Source organism: Homo sapiens, chromosome 4 (assembly GCF_000001405.40).
Source record: "Homo sapiens chromosome 4, GRCh38.p14 Primary Assembly".
Lineage (NCBI taxonomy): Eukaryota > Metazoa > Chordata > Mammalia > Primates > Hominidae > Homo > Homo sapiens.
In genome coordinates, this window is record NC_000004.12 from 90,254,211 (window position 1) to 90,280,832 (window position 26,622).

Genomic DNA, 26,622 nt, shown 5'->3' on the forward strand with positions numbered 1-26,622 from the left:
TAAAGCCAGATCTTTTAGGAAGACCTATAGAGCATTAGTTCCTTCTGGCTTGCCTCGTTCTCTGGGCAGTACCCCTGCACCAGTGTTCCAGAGCTGGTGGTCAGGAAGTCGCTCACTTCTCTAGGAATGACAGCCTTCTCTAATGAGTAGAATGCTTGGCAGGGGCAGTAGCCTCTGTTCTTGTCAACTTGATATTATCTTGATGTTGAACCTCCACCGTAAACTTGCTGAAACAAGGACATTCAGGGCTCAGTATTATCAGCCAGCTATGCCTGGGGGTAGATCTTCCATTCTATGAGTAAGGCTGAGTAGAGGAAAGGAACAGGGATCATTTGACTGTTCTTGCCTGCAGTGGAGCTTCAGCAGCAATGGGCTGGGCAGGATGAGAAAGGCTGGTGATCAGCTCCTCCTGGGAAGAAACTGTAGCCCTAAACTTGGGTCTAGGAGGAGACAGAGCCCTGTGTTCTTGTCTGTACATGCCGATAGTAGAGCTTCCATAAAGTTGAGCTGGGTAGGAGGGAATGGGCCATGGCTCACATGCCATAGACTGTCACTTATTGAGATTTATTTGATTTTGCTGAATAAATGTTTCTCCATTTTTTGCATGTCATTAGGGAAACTTCCTGATAATTTAAGTGGTTACTTTATATAATTTTTACCTGTTATGGTTGTTCCTCCTGTAGTGTTCTTAGCATTTACTTTCATTTACTAAAATATCTGTATGTTTTTTAAAAGTATATGTTGATATACATATCAACATATATATCAACACACACACACACACACACACACACACACACGCACACTTTATGAACATATTGATTCTACCAGCATTTATTCTGCTTCTACCAGTAATGGTCTTCTTTTTAATTAAAATGGTAGTGTTTTTTAAAGCATAAGTCAAGCAAAATTTAGCGCTTTTCGTCAGCAAGTAACAATTCTTTTATTAAACACTATTTTCAAGTCCTTTTTCAAATACCATCAGAATTTCCATTTATTAATTTACAAAGAAAATTATAAAAATTACATAGAACTATTTGAATAAGCATAACCATATATTTTTTTTTTCTCAGAGTGATCTACATGGGAACCACATTCACAAGTAGAAGGTTGCTTGGTGACCAGGGAATCTGCGCAATCATTAATCTTTGATGATTGGAATGATTAATGATATCAAGCCATTTTGTTTTGCCTGTCCTTTTGCATCTTCACCATCTCTGCTCTGCATTTAATAAATATGAATCATTTTATAGAAATACAGATTGTTATAAATTATGGTTATTTTAATCATAAGGATAGTAATTCTCAAAGCTTAGTTTACAGTTTGACAATGGTAAATGAAAAATTTATATGTTCACAAAAATATTTTGCAAACATAGGATTTGTACTTTCTAACAATTTTCAGATATCTGTTTTTAAAATAAGTTTTACAAAAACTACTGATTACAGAATAGATATCTAGCCTTTAAATGCAACATATTACATAGAAATTATAGTTGTTGCAATCATCCAAAGAGGTGTAAAAAAAACACAGTTAAAGCAAGAGAAGTCTTTATAGAACAGATTGCCAGTAGTTAGTGTACAAGTATGGTAACACTTAATGTTTATTTTCAGTGTTTGGGACATTATTCACTTTACATGTATAATGTCACCCAATTGTCACAATAGGTAGGAACTTGTCATTCACTTTATAGATGAGGATACTGAAGCTCTAGATGTTTATGTAACTTATCTAAGCTAGCTAGTGATGGAACTGTGGCATTTCTAGTTAATGATAGAACTGTGGCATTTACCTTGCAGCCTAACTCTAGAGTTCTCACTCTTACTCTGCCACATTGTATCCAGAAGTATGCCAAAATTTTTCTTCATCTTATATAATTTGTTTTCATATTTTTCACATATTTGTAAAGAGCATGTTTATTGACCCTGTTCCATGTCCATCTGAAGTTCTCTCTTGGTTATTTGAGTAATGGAGGAGCCAATTCCTATAGTCTCCATTCATGCTCAAAATCTTCCTGCAGTCTTTGTGACCTGACTCATTCTTTCTATTACAAAAATATGTAATATAAACATGATTAAGATGAAGAGGATATAATAGCCAAAATGTATTGTGCCAGGCATTGTTCTAGTGTCTTGTGTATGTTATCTCATTTAATCTATGGTAAAATTCTCTGGGGTGGGCATTATTGACTTAGTGATTAAGAAACTTCAAATCGGAGAAACTAACTGTGCTTTTGGCTACACAGTTTTTAAGTGTTGATTCTGAATTATGCCTGGTGATTCTGAAGACATTGCCCTTTCCCTGTCATATTCTAAAATGTTTACTGAGTGCTGGGTCTTACATGCCCTGTGAGTAGGCTGTCAGCAGAATACTTCTCTAGAGGTAGTTATATTAAAAATACATTAAGGTTGAGAAACTCAGAATCAGAAAGATTCATTATAAGATATAAGTTTGCATAGTTCACCTTGAGATTGCTATGGCAGGTTCATAAATGGATTGACAAATGAAAAGTGGGTCACTGATCATTTTATTTACTGTAGTTCCCCATTATCTGTGGTTTTGCTTTCCACGACTTAAGTTATCTGCAGTCAACCATGGTATAAAAATAGTTGAATACAGTAAAATAAGACATTTTGAGAGAGAGAAAGAGGGAGCTCACATTTATATAACTTTTATTACAGTATATTGCTTTGTTTTATAATTATTATTAATCTCATTGTTTTTCATTTATAAATTAAATTTTACCATATATATGTATGTATAAGAAAATACATAGTATTTATGACATTCCGTACTATCTGTAGTTTCAGGCATCCACTGCGGGGGGGTCTTCGAAGATATGCCTGATGGGTAAGAGAGGGATTGCTATATTCACTGTTATGGAAAATAGTGGTGGTCTTAACAGCAGATATAAAAATTATTTGCAAATTAACAGTATGTTAACAAACAAAGGAAAGGAGATGGCATAAAATATCAGTGTCTTATGTTATAAAATGAAATGTTATATATATATATATAGGTATATGTCTATATAAGCAATGCATCATTGCTATTCATTATCAAATACTATTCATCAAAAATGAGTGCTTATGATTCTAGGACAGGGACCTTGTATGGTTCTTTTGTTTTTATTTATAAAACATGACACATAAAGGGCACTTGATAAATGTTTAAGGGAGCAAAAAATATTTTTTGGTGTATTTAAAAGTCAAATGAGCAAAGCAGGGATTTATGCTGGTGGAAAAGAGATTAATTATGGTCTAAATAGCATAGCATGCTCCTTGTGTTAGTCCAGAGAGAGAGAGTGCCAATAGGATACAGATAGATAGATAGATAGATAGATAGATAGATACATAGATACATAGATACATAGATACTTAGATAGATAAAGAAGGAGAGAGATTTAACATAAACATGTAAATACTTAAGTAAATGTTTATTTATTATAAGGAATTGGCTCACACGATTATGGAGGTTGGAAAATTCCAAGATTTGCTGTTGGCTGTCTGATGACCCAGGAGAGTCAATTACATAGTTCCAGTCTGAATCTGAGTCTGAAGACAGGAGAATTTTGATATTGTAGCTCCCAGACAGTCAAGTAGAGGAGTGAATTCCCCCTGACTCAGCCTTTTATTCTATTCAGGCCATCAAGGGATTGGATAAGCCCCACTCATATTGGAGAAGGCAATCCGATTGATTCAGGCTACTGATTTCATATGCTAATCTCATCCAGAAACATCTTCATAGACTCACAGACATACCCTCAATAATGTTTAACCAAATACCTGGGCAGTCTGTGGTCCAGTCAAGTTGACACATAAAATTAACCGCCACACTGTTCAGTTTTCCTAGCTGTTAACTCCAATCATTTGAAAGGAAGCGATCTCAAACTTAAGGTTCCAGACTCTATAGCCAGATAATAATTTCTGGTTTTTATAGGCTGATGACTCCCATTCTGTATTTAAGGGCTACTGGTATGACATCACAGAAAAATAATTATTTACTCATTTAAAAAAATATCGGATGGGCACGGTGGCTCATGCCTGTAATCCCAGCACTTTGGGAGGCCGCGGCAGGTGGATCATGAGGTCAAGAGATTGAGATCATCTTGGCCAACATGGTAACACCCCGTTTCTACTAAACATACAAAATTAGCTGGGCGTGGTGGTGCACGCCTGTAATCCCAGCTACTCGGGAGACTGAGGCAGGAGAATCACTTGAACCTGGGAGGCAGAGGTTGCAGTGAGCTGAGATCACGCCACTGCATTCCAGCCTGGCGAAAGGTGAGACTCCATCTCAAAAACAAACAAACAAAAATATCAAAGTGAAATATGTGTAAGAAACTCAAAGAATATTTTAAGAGAGTATAATAATGTTAAAATACACAAAGTTCCTTATTTATAGTTTCACTTTCAAAGATAAACAGTCATAATGATTTGATTTTCTAGCCATTTTTCAATACACTATACAATTAATAGTACATATGTGTTAGTTTTATTTTTTATTTCAATAGTTTTTGGGGTACAGGTGTTTTTTGGCTACATGGATGAGTTCTTTAGTGGTGAATTATGAGATTTTAATGCACTCCTCACCTAAGCAGTGTACACTGTATCAAATATGTAGTCTTACACCCCTCACTTTCTTTGCAACCATGCTGTTTTGGTAACTACAGCCTTGTAGTATAATTTGAAGTCTGGCAATGTGATACCTCCAGATTTGTTCTTTTTGCTTAGTATTGCTTTGGTTATGTGGGCTCTTTTTTGGTTCCATATGAATTTTAGGATTGTTTTTTCTAGTTCTGTGAGGAATGATGGTGGTATTTTGATGGGAATAGCATTGAATCTGCAGGTTGCTTCAGGCAGTATGGTCATTTTCACAATATTGATTCTTCCTATCTATGAGCATGGGATGTGTTTTCATTTGTGTCATCTGTGATTTCTTTCAGTAGTGTTTTGTAGTTTTCCTTTATAGTTTTCACCTTTTTAGTTAAGTATATTCCTAGGTATTTTATTGTTTTTGCAGCTATTGCAAAAGGGATTGCGTTCTTGATGTGATTCTCAGCTTGATCATTGTTGGTGAATAGCAGTGCTTTGTATACATTGATTTTGTAATGTGAGACTTTACTGAATTTGTTTATCAGATCTAGGTGCCTTTTGGATGAGTATTTATGGTTTTCTAGGTATATGATCATATCATCAGTGAACAGTGACAGTTTGACTTCTTTTTTTTTCCCAATTTGTATGTCCTTTATTTCTTTCTCTTGCCTAATTGCTCTGGCTAAGACTTCCTGTACTATGTTGAATAGAAATGGTGAAAGTGGGCATCCTTGTCTTGCTCCAGTTCTCAGGGGAAATGCTTTTAGCTAAGATGTTAGCTGTGGGTTTGTCATATATGGCTTTTATTACTTTGAGGTAAGTCCCTTCTATGCCTATTTTGTTAAGAGTTTTTATTATGAAGGGATGCTGGATTTTACCAAGTGCTTTTCCCTTATCTATTGAGATGATCATATGGTTTTTGTTTTCAATTCTAGCTATGTGATATATCACATTTATTGACTTGTGTATGTTAAACCATCCCTGCATCTCTGTGACTAAACTCATTTTGTCATGATGTATTATCATTTTGATCATCCACCAGCTGTTGGATTTGGTGAGCTAGTATTTTGTTGATGATTTTTGCATCTATGTTTATCAGTGATATTGGTCTGTAGTTTTCTCTTTTTTGTTATGTCCTTTCCTGGTTTTGCTATTAGGGTGGTACTGGCTTCATCGAATGACTTAGGGAAGATTCTCTCTTTATCTTTTGGAATAATTTCAGTAGGATTAGTACCAATTCTTCTTTGAATGTCTGGTAGAATTCAATTGTACATCCATCTGGTCCTGTACTTCTTTTCACTGGCAATTTTTTAAAATTATTGATTCAGTCTCACCACTTGGTATTGGTCTGTTCAGTGTTCCTGTTTCTTCCTGATTTAATCTAAGAGGGTTGTATATTTCTAAGAATTTATCCATTTCCTCTGGGTTTTCTAGTTTGTGCATGTAAAGGTGTTCATAGTAGACTTCAGTGAACTTTTGTATTTTTGTGGTATTGGTTATAAAATCGTTGACTTTCTGCCTTGATGATCTGTCTAGTGTTCTGTGGAGTATTGAAGTCTTCCACTATTATTGTGCTGCTATCTCATTTCTTTGGTCCAGCAGTAATTGTTTTATAAATCTGGGAGCTCCAGTGTTAGTTGCATATAGGTTTAGGATTGTAATGTCTTCTTGTTGGACTGCTACTTTTATGATGATATAATATTGTTCTTTGTCTTTTTTTTACTAGTGTTGCCTTAAAGTCTGTTTTGTCTGACATAAGAATAGCTACTCCTACTTCTTCTGGTTTTCATTTACATGGAATATCTTTTTCTATCCCTTTGACCTTGAGTTTATGTGAATGCTTATGTGTAAGATGAGTCTGTTGAAGACAGTAGATATTGTTTGGTGGTTTTCTAATTTTTTATTTGATTTATTTCTTGATTTATTAAGACAGAGTTTCACTCTTGTTGCCCAGGCTGGAGTGCAATGGCACTATTTTGGCTCACTGCAACCTCCGCCTCCTGGGTTCAAGCAATTTTCCTGCCTCAGCCTCCCGAGTAGCTAGGATTACAGGCGTGTGCCAGCACACCTGGCTAATTTTTCTATTTTTAGTAGAAACGGAATTTCACCATGTTGGCCAGGCTGGTCTTGAACTCCTGACCTCAAGTGATCTGCTTGCCTTGGCCTCCCAAAGTACTAGGATTAGAGGTGTGAGGCACCACACCTGGCTAGGTGTTGGTTTTGTTAAACCCATTCGGCCATTCTTTACCTTTTAAGTGGAGCATTTAGGCCATTTACATTCAATGTTATTATTGAGATACGAAGTACTGTTATATTCATCATATTCATCATATTAGTTGTTACCTAGATACACTGTTTTTTTTTTCACTGTGTTATTGTTTTATAGGCCCTGTGAGCTTAATGCTTTCAGGAGGTTCTATTTTGGTGCACATTGAGCTTTTGGTTCAAGATTTAGAACTTTTAGCATTTTTCGTAGTGCTGGTTTGGTAGTGGCAAATACCCTCAGCATTTGTTTGTCTGGAAAACACTTTATCTCTTCATCATTTATGAAGCTAAGTTTCACTGGAAACAAAAATCTTGGCTGACAATTGTTCTGTTTAAGGAGGCTAAAGATAGGAACTCAGTTCCTTCTAGTTTGTGAGGTTTCTGCTGAGAAGTCTTCTGTTAGTCTGATAGCTTTTCCTCTGTGGGTTACCTGATGCTTTTGTCTCACAGCTCTTAGAATTCTTTCCTTCATGTTGACTTTAGATAGCCTGATGACTATGTACCTTGGTGATGATCTTTTTGCAATGAATTTCCCAGGAGTTCTTTGTGCTTCTTGTATTTGGATATCTAAATCTCTAGCAAGGTCAGGAAAGTTTTTCTCAATTATTCCCTGAAATATCTTTTCAAACTTTTAGTCTTCTCTTCTTCCTCAGGAACACCAATTATTCTTAGGTTTGGCCATATTACATAATCCCATATTTCTTGGAGACTTTGTGTATTTCTTTTGATTCTTTTTGCTTCATCTTTGTCTGATTGGTTAATTTGAAAGCTGTGTCTTCAAGCTTTGAAATGTTTTCTTATACTTATTTTATTGTTGAAACTTTCTGTTACATTTTGTATTTCCCTAAATGTGTCTTTCATTTCTAGAAGTTCTGATTGGTTTTTCTTTAAGATATCTATCTGTCTGGAAACTTTTTCACTTATATATTGAATTTTTTTTAAATTTATTTTTGTTGATTTTCACCTTTCTCTGGTATTTCCTTGAGTAGCTTAATAATAAACCTTCTGAATTTTTATTTGCTATTTCAAATATTTCATCTTGGTTTGGATCCATTGCTAGGGAGCTTCTGTGATTTTTTGGGGATATTAAAGAACCCTGTTTTGTCATATTACAAATCCCTGTCTTAGGTAGAGTATTGCTTTAAATTGTTTTTAAATTTATATTTGATTTCTTTTAAATTTCTTTTTATCCTCTTGAGGATGTGGCTTTAATGTTTATAGTTTATTATAGCCTCATTTGATTCTTGGTGCTTTTAGGGCTGAAGACTGTATGAGTTCGTTTGTTACAGAGTCTTTGTGTGCTGGCTTTCTTAGCTGCTCATTGTATTAGTTATGTACTTGATGTGTGGGCAAGTTCACTGTCTCCTATGGGGTTGGAAAAGCAAGGATCTCTTGAAGCTTATTTCATTGCCCCATCGTATGCATTTTTAAAATTTTAATTAGTTTTTTCCTGTTATTTTATTTACTGAGTTAATGGTTCAAGTTTTAGGCCAATAGAGGATGTATCTCCGGGTAGGAATCAGTTGTTGCTAAAGCCAGTGGGTAGATGCAATACCCAATGGTGGGCAGGGATCCCAGCCTTGATGAAGGTGGCTGGGAGAGCTCTCCATTAGATGCACTGAAGTTTTAGCAGGGGGAAGGGTGGGAGCTACCTTAACTCCCCTGCCAGGCCAGTAGGAAATCTGTCTACCTCCCAGCCTCACTCCTGCCCCTGTGTTCTGGCTGTTCAGATCAGACAGGTACCTCTTTTTGTCTGTAAGAACATTGATATTCCAAGTAGAGAGGAATTATGACTCTGCCACTCATGCAATCCTGAACCTGGGGAGTGCTCCTCCTGTGGGGACATAATCACCCTGAAATGTTCCAGGAAGGCTGTCTATAGATGTGTCCTCGCTGAGTTCCTGTGGGAGGAGTCTCAGTTGTGTCTGCAGTTGTGGACAAGGCAGAAACAAGGGCCCCTTCTCCAAGACCCTTCATGTGCTGCCTGACTGTTGGGGTAGAGGTGCAGACTTTCTCCACTGAGCCCAGTGCTGCAATAGCATCTCTGCTATGAGAAACTTCCCACCAGCGGAAAGATCTGGGACTCAAGTCCTGCCATCCGGATTCTTTTGTCCCATGGCATGTTCCCTAGAAGTGGCATTCTCCCTCTTCCCCTAGTAGTAGGAGTTCCTGAGAGCCAGACTACAGTGATTGGTATTGCCTTTCTGGGGCTAGCCACCCAGTGGGGCTGCCACACTCTGGACTCGTACTGGGGATGTCTGCAAAGAATCCGGCTATGTGAACTGACTTTAAGTCTCCCAGCATTGGGAAGCAGCACCAGCTCTGATGGAGGTGGCAGGGGAGTGATGTAGACCCTGTGAGATTCCTTGGTTGTAGATAGGCTTAGTGTGCTGGCTTTTTCAAATGCTGGTTATAATCATAGTGAACTTGTCATGTGGACAGACTCAGGACCTCTGGTTAACCAGAGTACTGCAGGCAAAGTTGATAGCCGAAGTCACACAGCCATTTTCTTTTTCCTGGGCACAGAGTTATTCTACCTAGAGATGCTGTAATGGCCCGAGTTGATTGACCTCCAACAGAGGTGGCGCTTGAAAAGGGGCATCAGCTGGCACAGAGGCAGTGGGATTTGAGCTTGCCCTAAGTAGTCTGGGGTAAGTATTCTGGTTTCTCAGGTGATGGGTGGAGCTATAAAGCTCCCAAAAGTTTATGTCCTTTGTGTTAAGCTAGTAGGGCCAGTGGAGGGGCATGGCCAACTGCTACTCCATAACCCCTTTGTGAATTCTTCTGTGCAGCAGACTATTATACTCCCCTCTGGAACATTACCCCAGTGGCCTGAGAGCCACCGCCAACCCTCACAGGGGCCATGACTTGTCCCCATCAAGGAAAGTCAGAGCACAGACCCCCCTAACTTTGCCCCCACTTGGGGAAGCATTTTTTAGGCATAAAGCTACAAAAGAAAGATATAGCAGTTTTCAAGTCACACTTGACTTTTAGAGCACCATAGTAAAGAGGACCTCTTGTTAAAATACACCGTGGGCTTGATGAATTTCCTTATGAGCATAATCTGTGATATTCCAAATGTGCTCTTTATTGCTATTCTTGTCAATATTCTCTTCTTCCACAATTAACTGGTGTTACAGTCCCAATTTGTAAATGGCTTTGAGTGTTTTGAGCAGTTTTCTACCCTCACTTTCATAAATTGAGTGGAATCTTGCACTTTTTACATGTTCTGCTTTGGAATTTATTGTATTGTGTATACATTGCATTTTTGGTTGTTTATACTGCAAACCTGACTCCCAAAGACATTAACATGATATCTATCGAGTCAGTCTAGTACTAACTGGGGTGAAAAATTTCATTGGCTATTAACTTTATAAAAAGTTAGTTTATTACAGAATATTTTCATATTAGGATCATTTATGTCACTGCCCCACCTACAACACAAACTAACAAGAGAAGAACTGACAAGAACATCCTTCATATTGTGTTACTTTCCTGTTTACTGGAATGCTTTTTGTAGGTTGTTTTTGTATATTTCTAAACTTTATTTTTCTCCTTTTGGTGTCAATCAGTAAATCTGCTCTACTATTCAGTGTCTACATAGCTGTCTAATACACTTTTTTTTTTATCCTGGATGGTTGAGTTTGCTGGAATATTTTGAGACAATTAACATTTATAACATTTTAATCCAGCTATCTGAGCATTTAATATTCCTGTCTGGATTATTAAGGTTATCTTGATGATTATGAAGTGATTTTATTTTTCCAGTCCTCTAAGTTGATATATTAATTCTGAATTTATTCGTTTATAAAAAGAAGTCTTAATAAGCTCCAGATTACATTGTCCCACTAAACATAACCCATTTTCCTTTTCTGATATTCTTTGACTATTTTATTTTAAATTGAGGGTATAATTTTCTTCTGTCTTCATAAACTATGTGAATATCTTAAAAATGACATCTAGTAAAGAATATTCTTGTATCTCAGATAGCTTATGTATTATATATAATCTTTAATTTTGCGAGATACAGACCTTTATAGAGTGTGTTGAAGGGAAGAGTGTATGAACTACTTGCAATCTCTTCCTTGACTATTTTTTAGTTCTTAAAATAATTATACCTACCTATATTCCTGAGGCAATATTTTTTATTTTACTTTTTCTTTTGAATGGAATTCAGTATGTATTTTTATGGCAAAAATGTGCTTTCATAGAAAGTAACTTTCATATTTAGAATAAAATATATTTGTATGTATATTATGTATTTATATAAATGTATATCAAAGGTAAATGACAGTAATGATTCATCAGGTATTAAAAAAGTAAAGTAAAATTTAAATGATCAAATTTCACTAGTGTAATATTAGGACTGGTTAATATTTTTTCTTGAACATAATGATTTAGAAATGAAAATTTGTGATTATTACTTGATTACATTAAAATAGTCTTAAAGATATTTCTGTCCACATTGCCATGTTTTTAAAAATGCCAATGAAATAAGCTATCAAAAATTATAATAAAATATTCTATACTATTAAGTTATATCAATTTCCCAATTATTACAAAATAAAACGTATTGTTCTGAATGTAACGAAGAGGAGATATTTCATACTTAAATTCTGAATCCAGCTGTTTTACACTATGAAATATTAATTGCATGATCTTAAGGATAAGAACCTCTTTTATAGTACTTCTGTAAGAGAAATAAATTGGTCATAATTGTATTTCATTTTCTTGATTGAATAGATACATAGAATAAAATGCACTGCAGTCTTCTGACAATCACATCCTGAGACTCTGCTTAAATAGCTCTATTATAATCTTACAGCATTTTTAGTCATTTAAATACAAGTTTAGTTCTGTTGTAGCCTTCAGATATTTTGCACCAAGATATTTAACTTTGTAGCCTTCAGATATTTTGCAGCAAGATGTTTAACTGGGAAAACCCTTAGTTATTCATATTCAGATTTAAATTATTTCACTTACAACCATAGCTAAATATTTAAAACTGCAATGTCCCACTAAAACATAGCTGTTATAAATATTATAATTATCATCATAATAGAACTGACAGGAACCACTATCATTTATCTTACATTTCAATACTTCAGGTTATATGATTCAGTATGAAAGTATTGAGATAGATTTTTAAATTCTAAAACCAACTAACCTACCTTTCCTTTCTTCTTTGGTTCCTTCTACCCTTCCTAATTTTCTCTAGAGAACTAAAATGAATGTCATGTGGCTAAGAAAACTCATGAAATGTTTTCTCTGTATTGTATGTAAATCATTGTTACTCTCCAGTATGTATAGTATTTTAATCTATATAGTCCAGAGCATATTAAAATTGGGAATTTTTTTTTTTTGTGGAGCAAGATGACCAAATGGAAACCTCCACTGACTTGTCTACACAAAAAAGCACCTACATACGAACTGAAAATCAGGTTAACCATCCTAGTACGTGGTTTTAACTTTATATTGCTAAAAGAGGCACTGAAGATGGTAGGAAAGAAAGTCTTGAATTGCTGATGCCACCCCTCCCCCATTCTCTGACAGTAGCTGCACAGCACAGGAGAGAGAATCTGTGCTTCTGGGGGAGGGAGAGTGAGCAATCAGGATTTTGCACTGGAAGAACTCAGCTGGTACCCATGGAGGGAGCATTTAGACTAGCCCTAGCCAGAGAGAAATTGCCCATTCCTGGGGTTGGAACTTGAGTTTCGACAAGCCTCATCACCATTGGCTAAACTGTCTGGGGTCCTAAATAAACTTGAAAGGCTCACTAGGCCACAGGGACTACAAATCCTAGGCAAGTCTTAGTACTATGCTGTGCTTGGAGCAAGTGGACTTGGGGGCTATAAGGAGAGGCCTCTTCTGCTTGAGAAAAGCAGAGATATAAGAATAAAGGGGACTTTGTTTTGCATCTTAAGTAGCAGCTCTGCCACTGTGGGGTAGAGCACCAAGCCAACTCTTGGGGTCCCCAATTTTAGGCTTTGGCTTTTGGACAGCATTTCTAGGCCTACCCTGGGCCAGAGGGGAGCCCAGTGTTAGAAAGGGTAGTCTTAGGCCTGGCAGCATTTGCCACAAGCTGACTGAAGAGTACTTGGGCCTTACTTCAGTGAACATCAGTGGTACCCTGGCAGTACATTCCATGGGCCCTTGGTGGTAGTGGACACAGGGAGAATCTCCTGCTTGGGGAAAGAGGAATGAAGAGGGGGAAAGACTTTGTCATGTGGCTTGTATTCCAGCTCAGCCACAGTAGAACAGAGAACTAGGTAGATTCCTAAGGTTTCTGACTATAAGCACTGGCTCCTGGACAGCATCTCTGGACCCACCTGGGGCCTGGGGACCTTGCAACCCTTCAGAAAAGAACACAAATCTGGCTGGGTTCGCTACCTGCTGATTGTAGAGCCCTGGACCTTGAGCAAACATAGAGATAGGTAGTGGCTATAGCAGGCCTTGGAAAAGACCCAGTGCTATTCTGGCTTCGGGTCTGACCCAGCATAGTCCCAGTGGGGGTGACCACAGGGGTGCTTGTGTCACCCCTTCCCCAGCTGCAGGCAGCTGAGCACAGAGAGAAGGACTTCATTTGTTTGGGAGAAAGTAAGAACAAGAGTCTCTCCCTGGTCATCCAGATAATTCTTCCAGATCTTATCCCAAACTGTCAAGGTGGTACCTCTCTAAGTATGCAAGAACTACAACATAACTGGGCTTGGGTACCCCCTAATGCAGATATGGCTTCAGTGAACAAAACTTTAGACCATATGCCCAATTCTCTTCTAACACCTGGAAAACCTTCCCAAGAAGGGTAAGTACAAACAAGCACAGATTGCAAGGGAATAGAAACAAATAACCTACAATGGAGTTCTAGTACATCTGTCAGTAGACGCTTCCAAGGAAACCTTACAGGCCAGGAGATAGGAATATGGCATATTTAAAGTGATGAAGGAAAAAAACCTTTTACCCTAGAATAGTATATTCAGTTAAAATATTCCTCAAGCAAAAAGGAGAAATAAAGACTTTCTCAGACAAATAGAAGCTGAGAGATTTCATTAATACCAGATCTGTTGTACAAGAAATGCTAAAGGGAGTTCTTCAGTCTGAAAGAAAATAATGTTAATGAGCAATAAGGAATCATCTGAAGGTTCTCACTGGTAGTAATAAATATGCAGAAAAACACAGAATATTATAATGTTGTAATTGTGGTGTGTAAAGTACTCATATCTTAAGTAGAAAGATGAAAAGATGAAACAATCAAAAATAATAACTACAACAATTTCAGACATGGATAGTATAATAAAATAGAAACAATGATAAGTTAAAAAGTGGGAATACGAAGTTAAAGTGCAGAGTTTATATTAGTTTTCTTTTTGCTTATTAGTTTGTCTATGCAATCACTGTTGTCATCAGTTTAAAATAATGGGTTATACTATATTATTTGCAAGCCTCATGGTAATCTCAAATAAAAAAATAAAACAGATACACAAAAAATAAAAAACAAGAACTCAAAACATACCAGCAGAGAAAATCAACTTCACTAAAAGGGAGACAGAAAGGAAGAAAAGAAGGAAGTGGGACCACACAAAACATCAGAAAAATAAATAACAAAATGGCAGGAGTAAGTCCTTACTTATCAATGAGAACATTGAATGTAAATGGATTACATGCACCAATCAAAAAACAGAGTTGGTCAATGAATGAAAAAACAAGACCAAACGATCTGTTGCCTACAAGAAATGTACTTCACCTATAAAGACACACCTAGACAGAAAATAAAGGAATGTAAAAAGATACTCCATGGAAATGGAAACAAAAAAAAATAAGAGTAGCTACACTTACATCAGACAAAATAGATTTCTAAACAAAGACTACAAAAAGAGGCAAAGAGGGACATTATTTAATGATAAATGGGTCAATTCAGCAAGAGGATATAACAATTATAAATATACGTGCATTCAACACCAGAGTACCCAGATATGTAAGGCAGATGTTAGAGCTAAAGAGAGAGGTAGATCAATACAATAGCTGGAGACTTCAACACCCAACTTTCAGCATTGGACAGATTATCCAGTTGGAAAACTAGCAAAGAAACATTTAATCTGTATTTAGATTGAATAGACTTAATAGACTTTTACAGAACATTTCATGCAACAGCTGCAGAGTACATAGTCTTCTCCTTAGCACAGGGATCATTCTCAAGGATAGACCATATGTTAGGTCAAAAAACAAGTCTTAAAACATTTAATATAATTGAAATCATATGGATTATCTTCTTTGATCATGATTGAATAAAACTAGAAATAAATAACACAAGAAATTTTGAAAGATGTACAACACATGGAACTTAAATAGTTTGTTTCTGAGTGACTAGTGGGTCAATGAAGAGATTAACAAGGAAACTGAAAAATTTCTTGAAACAATTGATAATGAAAACAGCATACCAAAATCTATAGGCTACAGCAAAGGTAGTACAAAAAGGAATTTTATAGCTATAAGTATCTACATCAAAATAGAAGAAAAACTTCAAATAAACAACACAACAGTGCATCTTAAAGAACTGGAAAAGCAAAAGAAGTCTGAACCCAAAATTAGTAGAAGAAAAGAAATAATGAATATTAGAGCAGAAATAAATGAAATTGAAGAAAACAATACAAAAGATCAATGAAACAAAAAGTTGGTTTTGTAAAAAGATTAAAAAAAAACCTGACAAACCTTTAGCCTGACTAAGAAAACAGAAGAGGAAATCCAAATAAAACCAGAGATGAAAAAGGGGACATTACAATTGATACCGCAAAAATTCAAAGGATCATTAGAGGTTACTTTGAGGAACTATATGCTTATAAATTGGAAAACTGAGAAGAAATTGAGAAATCCCTAGACACATATAACCTACCAAGATTGACCTGTGAAGAAATCTAAAATCTGAGCAGACCAGAAACAAGTAATGAGATTGAAGCTCTAATGAAAGGGATCCAGAAAAGAAAAGCCCAAGACCCAATGGATTCACTGCTGAATTTTTCCAAACCTTTAAAGAGCTAATACCAGTCCCACTGCAACTACTCCAAATATTATAGGAAGTGGGAATACTTCCAAACTCATTCTGTAAGGCCAGCATTACCTCAATACCAAAACCAGATAAGCATCAGAAAAGGAAAACTACAGGTCAATATCATTGATAAACGTTGATTCGGAAATACTCAACAAATACTAGCAAACTGAATTCAGCAACACATTAAAAAGATCATTCATAATGACCAACTGGGATTTATTCCAGGGATGCAAGGATGATTCAACATATGCAAATTAGTCAATGTAATAAATTGACAAGATGAAGGACAAACACCATATGATCATTTCAATTGACACTGAAAAATCATTTGATAAAATAATAAAACTGTAAAAAATACTGGATATAGAAGGAACACACCTCAACATAATAAAATCCATATGTGATAGACCCAGAGCTAGTATCATACAGACTAGGGAAAAACTGAAAGACTTTCCTCTAAGATCTGGAACATGACATGGATGTTCACTTTCACCACTATTATTCAAAATAGTACTGGAAGTTCTAGATAGAGGAATCAGACTACTGTCTGATTGAAAGAAATAAAGAGCATTTAAATTGGATCATACTATCCCTGTTTGCAGATGATATGATCTTATATTTGGAAAAACCTAAAGACTTCAAAAATCTATTTGAACTGATAAACAACTTCTGTAAAGTTGTAGGATACAAAATCAATATATACAATTCAGTAGCATTTCTATGTGCCAACAGTGAACAATCTGAAAAAGAAATCAAGAAAGTAATTGCATTTATAATAGCTACAAATAAAATTAAATACTTAGGAATTAATGTAGCCAAAGACATGAAAGATCTCTTCAATGGAAACTATAAAATATTGATGAAAGAATTGGATAAGGACACAAGAAAATGGAAAGATATTCCATGTTCATGGATTGGAAAAATAAATTTTGTTAAAATGTCCATGGTACCCACATCAATCTACAGATTTAATACAATTCCTCTCGAAATACCTAGACATTTCTCTCAGAAATAGAAAAAAAATGCTAAAATTTATATGGAGCCACAAAAGGCTCTGAATAGGCAAAGCTCTACTGAACAAAAAGAAGAAGACTGGAGGAATCACATTACCTGACTTCAAATTATTATACAAAGCTATGGTAAACAAAACTGCATGGCACTGGTGCAAAAATCAGACATATAGATCAATGGAGCATAATTGAGAAACCAGAAATAAATCCATACATCTATGGTGAGCTCATTTTTGATAAAGCTGTGAAGAACATACACTGGGGAAAGGATAGTCTTTTCAATAAATGGTTCTGGGAAGACTGGATGTCCATATGCAGAAGAATGAAACTAGACTGCTATCTCTTACCATATACAAAAATCAAATAAAAGTGGGTTAAAGACTTAAATCTGAGATCTCAAACTGTGAAACTACTAAAATAAAACTTTGGGGAAACTCTTCAGGAAATTGAACTGGGCAAAGATTTTTTGAGTAATACTCCACCAAGCACAGGCAACTAAAGCAAAAGTGGACGAATGAGATCACAACAAGTTAAAAAGCATCTGCACAGCAAAGGAAACAATCAACAATGTAAAGAGACAACCCACAGAATGGGAGAAAATATTTGCAAACTGTCCATCTGACAAGGAATTAATAACCAGATTATATATGTATTAGTCCATTTTCACACTGCTATAAAGATACTACCTGAGACTGGACAATTTATATATATATATATATATATATATATATATATATATTTTTTTTTTTTTTTTTTTTTTTTTTTTAAAAGGAGGTTTAATTGACTCACAGTTCTAGATGACTCCGGAGGCTTCAGGAAGCTTACAATCATGGCAGAACGGAAGCAGGCACCTTTTTTACAAGGCAGGAGAGAGTGTGAGTGTGTGAGGAAGGAACTGTCAAACACTTATAAAACCATCAGATCTCATGAGAACTCACTGTCACGACAACAGCGTGGGGGAAACCACCCCTGTGATTCAATCACCTCCCACCAGGTCTCTCCCTGGACACATGAGGATTACAATTCAAGATGAGATTTGGATGGGGACACAGCCAAACCGTATCAATATAAGTAGCACAAACAGTTCTGTAGGAACAATCTATTAATCTGATTTTTAAATGGTCAAACGGTCTGAATAGACATTTGTCAAGACATGCAAATGGCAAACAGGTATATGAAAGGTGTTCAGTATCATTAATCATCAGAGAAATACAAATTAAAACTGCAAAGATATATCATCTCATGCCAGTTAAAATGGCTTTTATCCAAAAGGCAGACAATAACAAATGCAGACAAGGATGTGGAGAAAAGGAAACTCTCATGCGCTGTTGGTGGGAATGTAAATTAATACAACCACTATTGAGAACAATTTGGATGTTCCTCAAAAAACTAAAAATAGAGCTACCATATGACCTAGGTATCCCACTGCTAGGTATATTATTGAAATAAAAGAAATCAATATGTTAAAGAGATATGGACACTCCTATGTTTATTGCAGCACTCTTCATGATAGCCAAGATATGGAAGAAACCTTCACATTTATCAACTGATGAATAGATAAAGAAAGTGTGGTACATATACAGCATGGAGTACTATTCAGCCATAAAATGGCTCACGCCTGTAATCCCAGCACTTTGGGAGGCCAAGGAGGGTGGATCACCTGAGGTCAGGAGTTTGAGACCAGCCTGGACAACATGGTGAAACCTCGTCTCTACTAAAAATACAAAAATTCGCTGAGCATGGTGGCATGCGCCTGTAATCCCAGCTACTCGGGAGGCTGAGGCAGGAGAATCGCTTGAACCCAGGAGGCGGAGTTTGCAGTGAGCTGAGATTGTGCCAATGCACTCCAGCCTGGGTGACAGAGTGAGACTCTATCTCAAAAAAACAAACAAACAAACAAAAAAAAACAGAACTATGATATCCTGTCGTGTGTAGCAACATGGATGGAACTGGATGTCATTCTGTTAAGTGAAATTAGCCAGGCACAGAAAGACAAACTTTGCATGTTCTCACTTATTTGTGGGAGCTAAAGATTAAAACGTTTGTACTCATGGAGATACAGAGTAAAATGATGGTTACCAGAGGCTGGGGAGGGTAGTAGTGGGGGTGGATGGGAAGATGGGATAGTTAATGGGTACAGAAAAGTAGAATGAATGAATGAGATCTAGTATTTGACAGGCTAACAGGGTCATTATATTCAATAACAATTTAATCGCATGTTTAAAGATAATTGAAAGAATATAATTGTTTGTAACACAAAGGATCAGGGCTTGAGGTGATAGATACCTCATTTGCCCTGATGTAATTATTATACATTGTATGCCTGTATCAGAATACCTCATATAACCCATATATACCTACTATGTACCCACAAAAATAATTTTAAAAAACTGAAGTTTTAAATCAGAAACATTTTCTTTTAGAGACTTTATTTTGTGGATGTTAATGAAGTTTTGTGGTGAACTCACTAAAACCAAGTTGTATAGTTAATATAACATGCAAAATCACTTACTGTATGGCAGTATGTCTCGAACATATAAAACTTTGCCTCTTTATTGAAAAACACATTCTGAGGTCAATCTCAAAACCTGTGAAGAATTCTCCCTGCTTCACAAGCCAAACTAGTAGGGATAGTGATTTCCTCTTCTGCACCACACCAGAACAACATGAGTAAGAGTTCCAGGCACTTGAAAAACATAGAAGAAAGGAAGGGAAAGAAGCACCTGTGCATTCTTCCATTCTTTCAAGTGGTTACGTCTTGTCAACTATGTTGTGATAAGAGCAGAGAAGATAATTATTCAAGATATTTGCAATTATTCAAGATAATTTTGCATATTTGAGTAATGCAAATTTAAAAACTTTTTAAAAATTTAAAAACACTAATGCAAATTTAAAAACAAATTTTGCATATTTGAGTAATGCAAATTTAAAAACATCTGTAGGTGCATACTACTCATGTATGTTTGTGAGACATGAATTCAGTGATTCCAAGTCTTCAACATCATTTCATGTCCAAACTCCCTGTCTGTCCCATCCTCTGAGATTTGGGTAAAAAAGAATTTGTCTTGGGGTAGAGCTTTACCCAAACTTTAAGAAAGGACATTGGTTAAGGGCACAAGAGGCATCTCTTTAGTGGTAGATTCATGTCATCAGGTGTGGAAGTCATGGTGGAAAAAAAATAGAAAACTACCAGGGAGTTGTGGAATACTGGACTTTGGAAAAAATAGCTCATTAAAGACATACTGAATAACATTTTACATGCTGTGTGTGTCTTTTCTTATCACTTTGTCATTTTGTTTGCTTAAATACGTGTTATCTATCAGCTTTGCTGTTAAGAAAACTATGTCATGGAAAGGTAGTTGAATATTTAGTTTGTTACTATTGTTCAGTGGTCAAGTGAGAACTCCAGTAAAGTTTTTAGAATTTAAAACTAGAATTGGGTATGAATAAGAGGAGCAAAATATATACATATAATGTTTCTTTTAATATTTTAGATATGTCTACGAGATCCAAAGTATATTTTTTATACCTTACTTTATTACAATTACAAAGTCTGTATTTTTCTTTTGCAAAATTTGCACTTGACCATCTTGGTCCCAGAATATCATACTTTCAGAATTTTCTAATGTTCTTAATATTATGCTTTATATTATATCACACAATTACTGAATAAATTAGGTGAATTCAAATTTTAAATGGATACATTAAACATATCAAAAGGAAAAGATCAAATTAGAAATAGTTTTAGAATGAAAGATTGGGCTTACACTGTCTTGCTGTAAGATAAATATTTCTGCATAGCACATGTGAAGTAATTAAGACACAGCAGAAATATCCTAAGCAGTGTAAAAGCACTAAAAATGGGAAATTGGTAATCACTTTCTATGAGCAAATGAAATTACTTACAATACCAATTCCCTTCCATTGTAATCTCTTTCTAACTTTATCGTACTTGGAAAATTGCTATGGTGACAAAGAAGTTTTTATTTTCCCTGGGTAGATAGAAATTCATTGGAAGACTTTATAAGTAGCCAGAACATGGTCTCATAATCAGTTAGCAGATTTGTATCCTCGACTACTACTTGTATTCTGTAAATAAACATCTTTTGACTAGCAAGCTGGATTAAGAATGAGTTTTCAAACATGCAGTCACATAAGTGTGACTTTTAAGTCAATGTGTCTTTTAAGCAATTATAATTTCACGTATCTTATGATTAGTTTCATATACATAAGGATTCATAGTAGAGGAGAATAATAAATACAAATGTGAAAATAAAAGGGGCATACTGAAGAGGTTAATTTTGTTAAAATGTGATAATCGTAAGCCTAATTTATAAAAAAATGTTCAGAATGTCATCACCTTGCTAATGAAATAAAACTTTTGGTGATAACATTTTAGCAAGGCTGACTGTGTAATTTACAGTGTCCAGTGAAAAAAGAAAACGTAGTGCCCCTTCGACAAAAATTTTAAGTTGGTGACAACAGAGAGTTTACCAAGAAGAAGGCCCTGTGTGGTTGCATAGATTGTATATTCATGAAGCAGATCTTGCTTGTTAGTCTAAATTTGCTATTAGAAAAGTTTTGAATACAGTAGATAAAATATCTGGGGAATATGCTTGGTTGTCACTCAGGAGTGTTTATACAAGTGTGATCAAAATTATAAGTAACATCAGGAAATTGATTATACAAGCATATTCACTATACAAGTGATGTCAAAATGATCTGTAAGGTTAACGAAATTCAGCAAAAGTGTTAATGAAATATCAATAGACCTTTGTGAAATATAAATTAAAATTAGTAATCTAAATTTTATATACTGAAATGAAGTGTGAGATGTATGCCTAATTTACAGAGAGCATTAAAAGTTTGGGAGAAGAGTATGATCTCCCATGAGTGGTCTTTACAATGTCTTAAACATAAGGCTATATCTTTAATAATTCTGTTGCCTTCTAGCCCACAACCTGACATATCTTGATATTTGATGAGTCTCAATGAGAAAACCATTTTGTGTGTGTGTCTCCTGGAATCTTTATTACTCTAGCAGGAAAGACTTGAACACTGTTTTCTTTCTTTCTTTCTTTCTTTCTTTCTTTCTTTCTTTCTTTCTTTCTTTCTTTCTTTCTTTCTTTCCTTCCTTCCTTCCTTCCTTCCTTCCTTCCTTCCTTCCTTCCTTCCTTCCTTCCTTTCTTTCTTTTTCTTTCTTTCTTTCTTTCTTCTTTCTTTCTTTTTTTTTTTTTTTGGAAACGGAGTCTCACTCTGTTGCCCAGGCTGGAGTGCAGTGGCACGATCTCTGCTCACTGCAACCTTCACCTCCTGGATTCAAGCGATTCTCCTGCTTCAGCCTCCTGAGTAGCTGGGATTACAATAAGTGCCACCATGCCCAGCTAACTTTTGTATTTTTAGTAGAGATGGGGTTTCACCATGTTGGTCAGGCTGGTCTCGAAATCCTGGCCTCAGTTGATCCACCTGCCTTGCCCACCCAAAGTGCTGGGATTATAGGCGTGAGCCACTGTGCCTGGCCTTGAGTTTTCTAATGCATAATGCACTGAAGAGTTCTCTTTCATAAATTCAGAACTGAGGAAGAGGAGAAAGAAGACAGAACAACAGAGCTGTTATTGAAAAATAGACGTCTTGGTTTCTTTTAACAGTGTTTTGTCATTCTCCTTGTGGAGATATTTCACCTCCTTGGTTAGATGCATTTCTAGGTATTTAATGTTTTGTTTTTTTTGTATGTGGCTATTGTAAATGAGATTGTGTTCTTGACTTGACTCTCAGCTAGAATGTTATTGGTGTATAGGAATGCTAGTGTTTTTTATACATTGGTTTTGCATCCTGAAACATTACTGAAGTCATTTTCAGTTCTAGGAGATTTTTGGCAGAGTCTTTAGAGTTTTCTAGGTATAGAATCATATTGTCTGTGAAGACAGATAGTTTGACTTATTTGGATGCCTTTTTTTTTTCTCTTGCCTGGCTGCTCTCACTGTGACTTCCAGAACTATGTTAAATACGAGTGGTTAGAGTGGGCATTCCTGTCTAGGCAACACAAATAAATGGAAACCATTCCATGCTCATGGATTGGGAGAATTAATATAGTTAAAATGGTCATACTGCCCAGAGCAATTTATGGACTTAATGCATTTCCAAACTACCAATGTCATTTTTTAACAGAAGTAGAGAAAACTATTCTGAAATTCACATGAAGTTAAAAGAGAGCCTGAATAGGCAAAGCAATCCTAAGCAAAAAGAACAAAGCCAGAGGCCACACATTACCTGTCTTCAAACTATACTACAAGGCTATAGTATAGTTTGTATAGTATAGTAACCAAAACAGCATGGTACTAGTACGAAAACAGACACATAGGTCAATGGAACAAAATAGAGAAGGCAGAAATAAAGCCAAATATCTACAACCATCTGATCTTAAACAAACTCAACAAAAATTAAGCAATGAGGAAAAGACTTCTTATTCAATAAATGGTGCTGGGATAAAGGGCTATCCATATGCAGAAGAATGCAACTGGATCCCTACCTATCACCATATATGAAAGTTAACACAAGATGGATTAAAGACTTAAACATAAGCCCTCAAAATAAAAAAAAATCCTAGAAGAAAGCCTAGGAAGTGCTCTTCTCAATATCAGCCTTGGCAATAATTTATGACTAAGTCCTCAAAAGGCAATTGCAACAACAGCAAAAAAATTGACAAGTGAGGCCTAATTAAAGTAAAGAGCTTCTGCACAGCAAGAGAAACTATTAAAGGAGTAAACAGACAGCCCATAGAGTGGGAGAAAATATTTGCAAACTCTGCATTTGACAAAGATCTAATATCCAGATTCTATAAGGAACTTAATTCAGCAAGCAAAATTCAAAAACCCCCATTAAAAAGGGGGCAAAGAACATGAAAGACACTTCTCAAGAGAAGACTTACAATGGACCCACAAGCTTATGAAAAAATGCTCATCATCATCAATCATTAGAGAAATGCAAATCAAAATCACAGTGAGATACCATCTCACACCAATCAGAATGGCTTCTGTTGAAAAGTCAAAAAATGGCAGATGTTGATGAAGATGCAGAGAAAAGGGGACACATACACTATTGGTGGGAATGCAAATTCGTCCAGCCACTGTGGAGAGCAATTTGGAGATTACTCAAAGTACTAAGTGTTGAACTACCATTCAACCCAGCAATCCCATTACTGGGTATATACTTAGAGAAAAATAAATCATTCTACCAAAATGACACAAGTACCCATATGTTCACGCAATGCTATTCATAATACAAAAAACATAGAATCATCCCTGGGGCCCATCAAAGGTGGATTGGATAAAGAAAATGTGGTCCATATACACCATGGAATACTATGCAGCCATAAAAATAATGAAATCAGTCCTTTGCAGCAACATGGGTACAGCTGAAGGCCATTATCCTAAGTGAACTAACCCAGAAACAGAAAACCAAATACTTCATGTTATTACTTACCGGTGAGAGTTTAACATTGGGCACACATGGACATAAAGATGGGAACAATAGACATTGAGGACCACTAGAAAAAGGGGGGATGGAAGGGGGCAAGGGCTGAAAAGTTTCCTCTTGGGTACTATGCTCACTACCTGGGTCACAGGTTCATTCATACCTCAAGCCTCAACATTACACATTATTTACCTTTGGAACAAACCTGCACATATACCCCCTGATTCTAAAATAAAAGTTGAAAAAAATGGAGTTGATAAGATATAGGTCAAACAAGTGAAAGTTTGCTCTCTTTCATTGGTTGTTGGCAAAACATTGTCTAATCAGGGCATATTTAATGACCCTAGGGTTTTTCCATAAGCGTAGGTTTATACCTGGGAAAGTCCAGGTTATGGTGGAAAATACATAGCATATAAGCTGCCAATTTTTCCTTTATTGCCCATGTTTTACATTATATTCTATAATGGCACTTTTTTCCTGCTGAACTTGAATAGACATCATAAATATTTTCAGTACTTCACTCTACGTAGCTCCACTAATTAAAGTTGGACTTGAGATAAAATCTGTTTCCTATATTGGGCATGGTGTAATCTAGTAATTTCTGGAATGTATAAAACTTAATTAATATACAGATATACGGACACTTGTATTCTGCTGGAGTCTTGCATTCTGAAATTCTTGGAAAATAGACTGTATGCACATAGTTTTATCTGGGTGGTGTTGGAATTAGGGGAGATAAGAATAAGAATATGGATTATAAGCCAATCCACTATATGGATGTGTGGAATTTAAATCTAAGAGCTTATAAAATTTATTATATTCTGAAAGAGGTAGCCACATAGAAATGCTGCAGAGTAAGCAATAGCAGACTTCTAGGAAGGTGCTGGAATTCCCAAGATGAGATAAAGAATTGGGCTAGGAATTGAATGAAAGATTTAGTGTACTACCTCTGGTATTTGCACAATGAAGCCAACTCAGATAAACTCTTTTTCTGCTTCTCGCTGCACTGTTTTCCAGCATTTTTTTCTCATTGTGTGCAAGTAGCTAGGACATAGCAGGATATACCAGATAAAAGAAATGGTCTAGTATCCAGAGAGCCTTACAGTCATACCTACTGACCGACCTCCCATTTCCAATGATTAGAATTGTAATCCGTATGCTGTTATAGGATAAAATGTTTTAGCACTACCCTCTAGATGTGATTTTCTATTTGAACTAGCTGTGGCCTGTATTAATGTATGGTATGAATGAAAATTGTATATTTTGAAACACAAGTAGATGGCTTGTGAATGCTAGTTAAATATTAAGAGCATACTGGGGGACTAATCTTTGACATTTTCTCTGCCAAGACAACCCAAGCAAAGAATATTTAATTCTCATGCTTTATAAAAATGATAGGAGTTAAGGGATCTCGTTTTAAGTAAATTTATATCAAAGAAGGAGATAAATATCCTTCAGAGGCCCATGTTAATAAAATATGAAGTTATGAGGAGTTTGTTGAATACTATAAAGAAAAAACAAATTCCAACAAGTTGGTAAGAGGCAAATAACAAACTAATGAATCTGATTAAAGTCTTTTCCATATCTGATTTCAAGAACCTATAGACTGAAGTAGTAAAGTCACTACAGTATTCCAAATCTGGTAGACAAACTGTAATGATGAATTTTTGGGCACCCAGAAAATATTTCCCTGAACAAATCATGAAGTCACCCTATCCCTTTCTCCCTCCCTTCCTTCTTCTCTCCCTTCCTCTCTCTCTTCATTCATTTCTCCCTTCCCTCCCTCCTTCCATCTCCTGTTTTTTTCTTCTTCTTCTTCTTTTTAAATCACAAGGACTCACTGAACCCAGAGATAAGCATTGTCACAGCTCTGGATAGTAAGGAGGAAAGGGAATTGCAGGACTGTGCTGTTTCATCTTACATGACAAATGGATCCCCAATAAATAGGCCTCTATTTTAATAATTAAATTGTATGGTGTTTGATTGATTGAACTCAGAAAAGATAACCAAGAATGTGGAAAGTAGAAATCAAGAGTCTATAAATCAGATCTAACGTAGGTCTTTGATTATACATGCATATAAATTCTCCAACTCTCCTCTTTCAGTGAGAGTTGCCAGAGTGTTTCCTTGTCAGTTTAAAAAATTAGAATAAGAAAGCCCAGAATGTGCTGACACTTGAGGAGGAGAAGGTCTTTAATCTAAATATTTTATCACATTGGTTAAAGAACCATTGGA

The 26,622-nt window shown here is 35.9% G+C and overlaps 1 protein-coding gene across 38 annotated transcripts in view; it reads left to right on the forward strand.

Annotated features, from left to right (window-relative positions):
* CCSER1 (coiled-coil serine rich protein 1) overlaps positions 1–26,622 on the forward strand; it is a 1,477,902-nt gene that overhangs the window by 126,817 nt on the left and 1,324,463 nt on the right. Inside the window, exon 1 of one of the 38 annotated variants that reach the window (XM_011531939.3) lies at positions 7,850–9,512. The exons of the other annotated variants lie outside the window; for them this stretch is intronic. The gene's annotated coding sequence lies outside the window, so the exon portion shown is untranslated. Of the gene's footprint in view, positions 1–7,849; positions 9,513–26,622 lie in introns of those variants that run through there. 38 annotated transcript variants of the gene reach the window in all.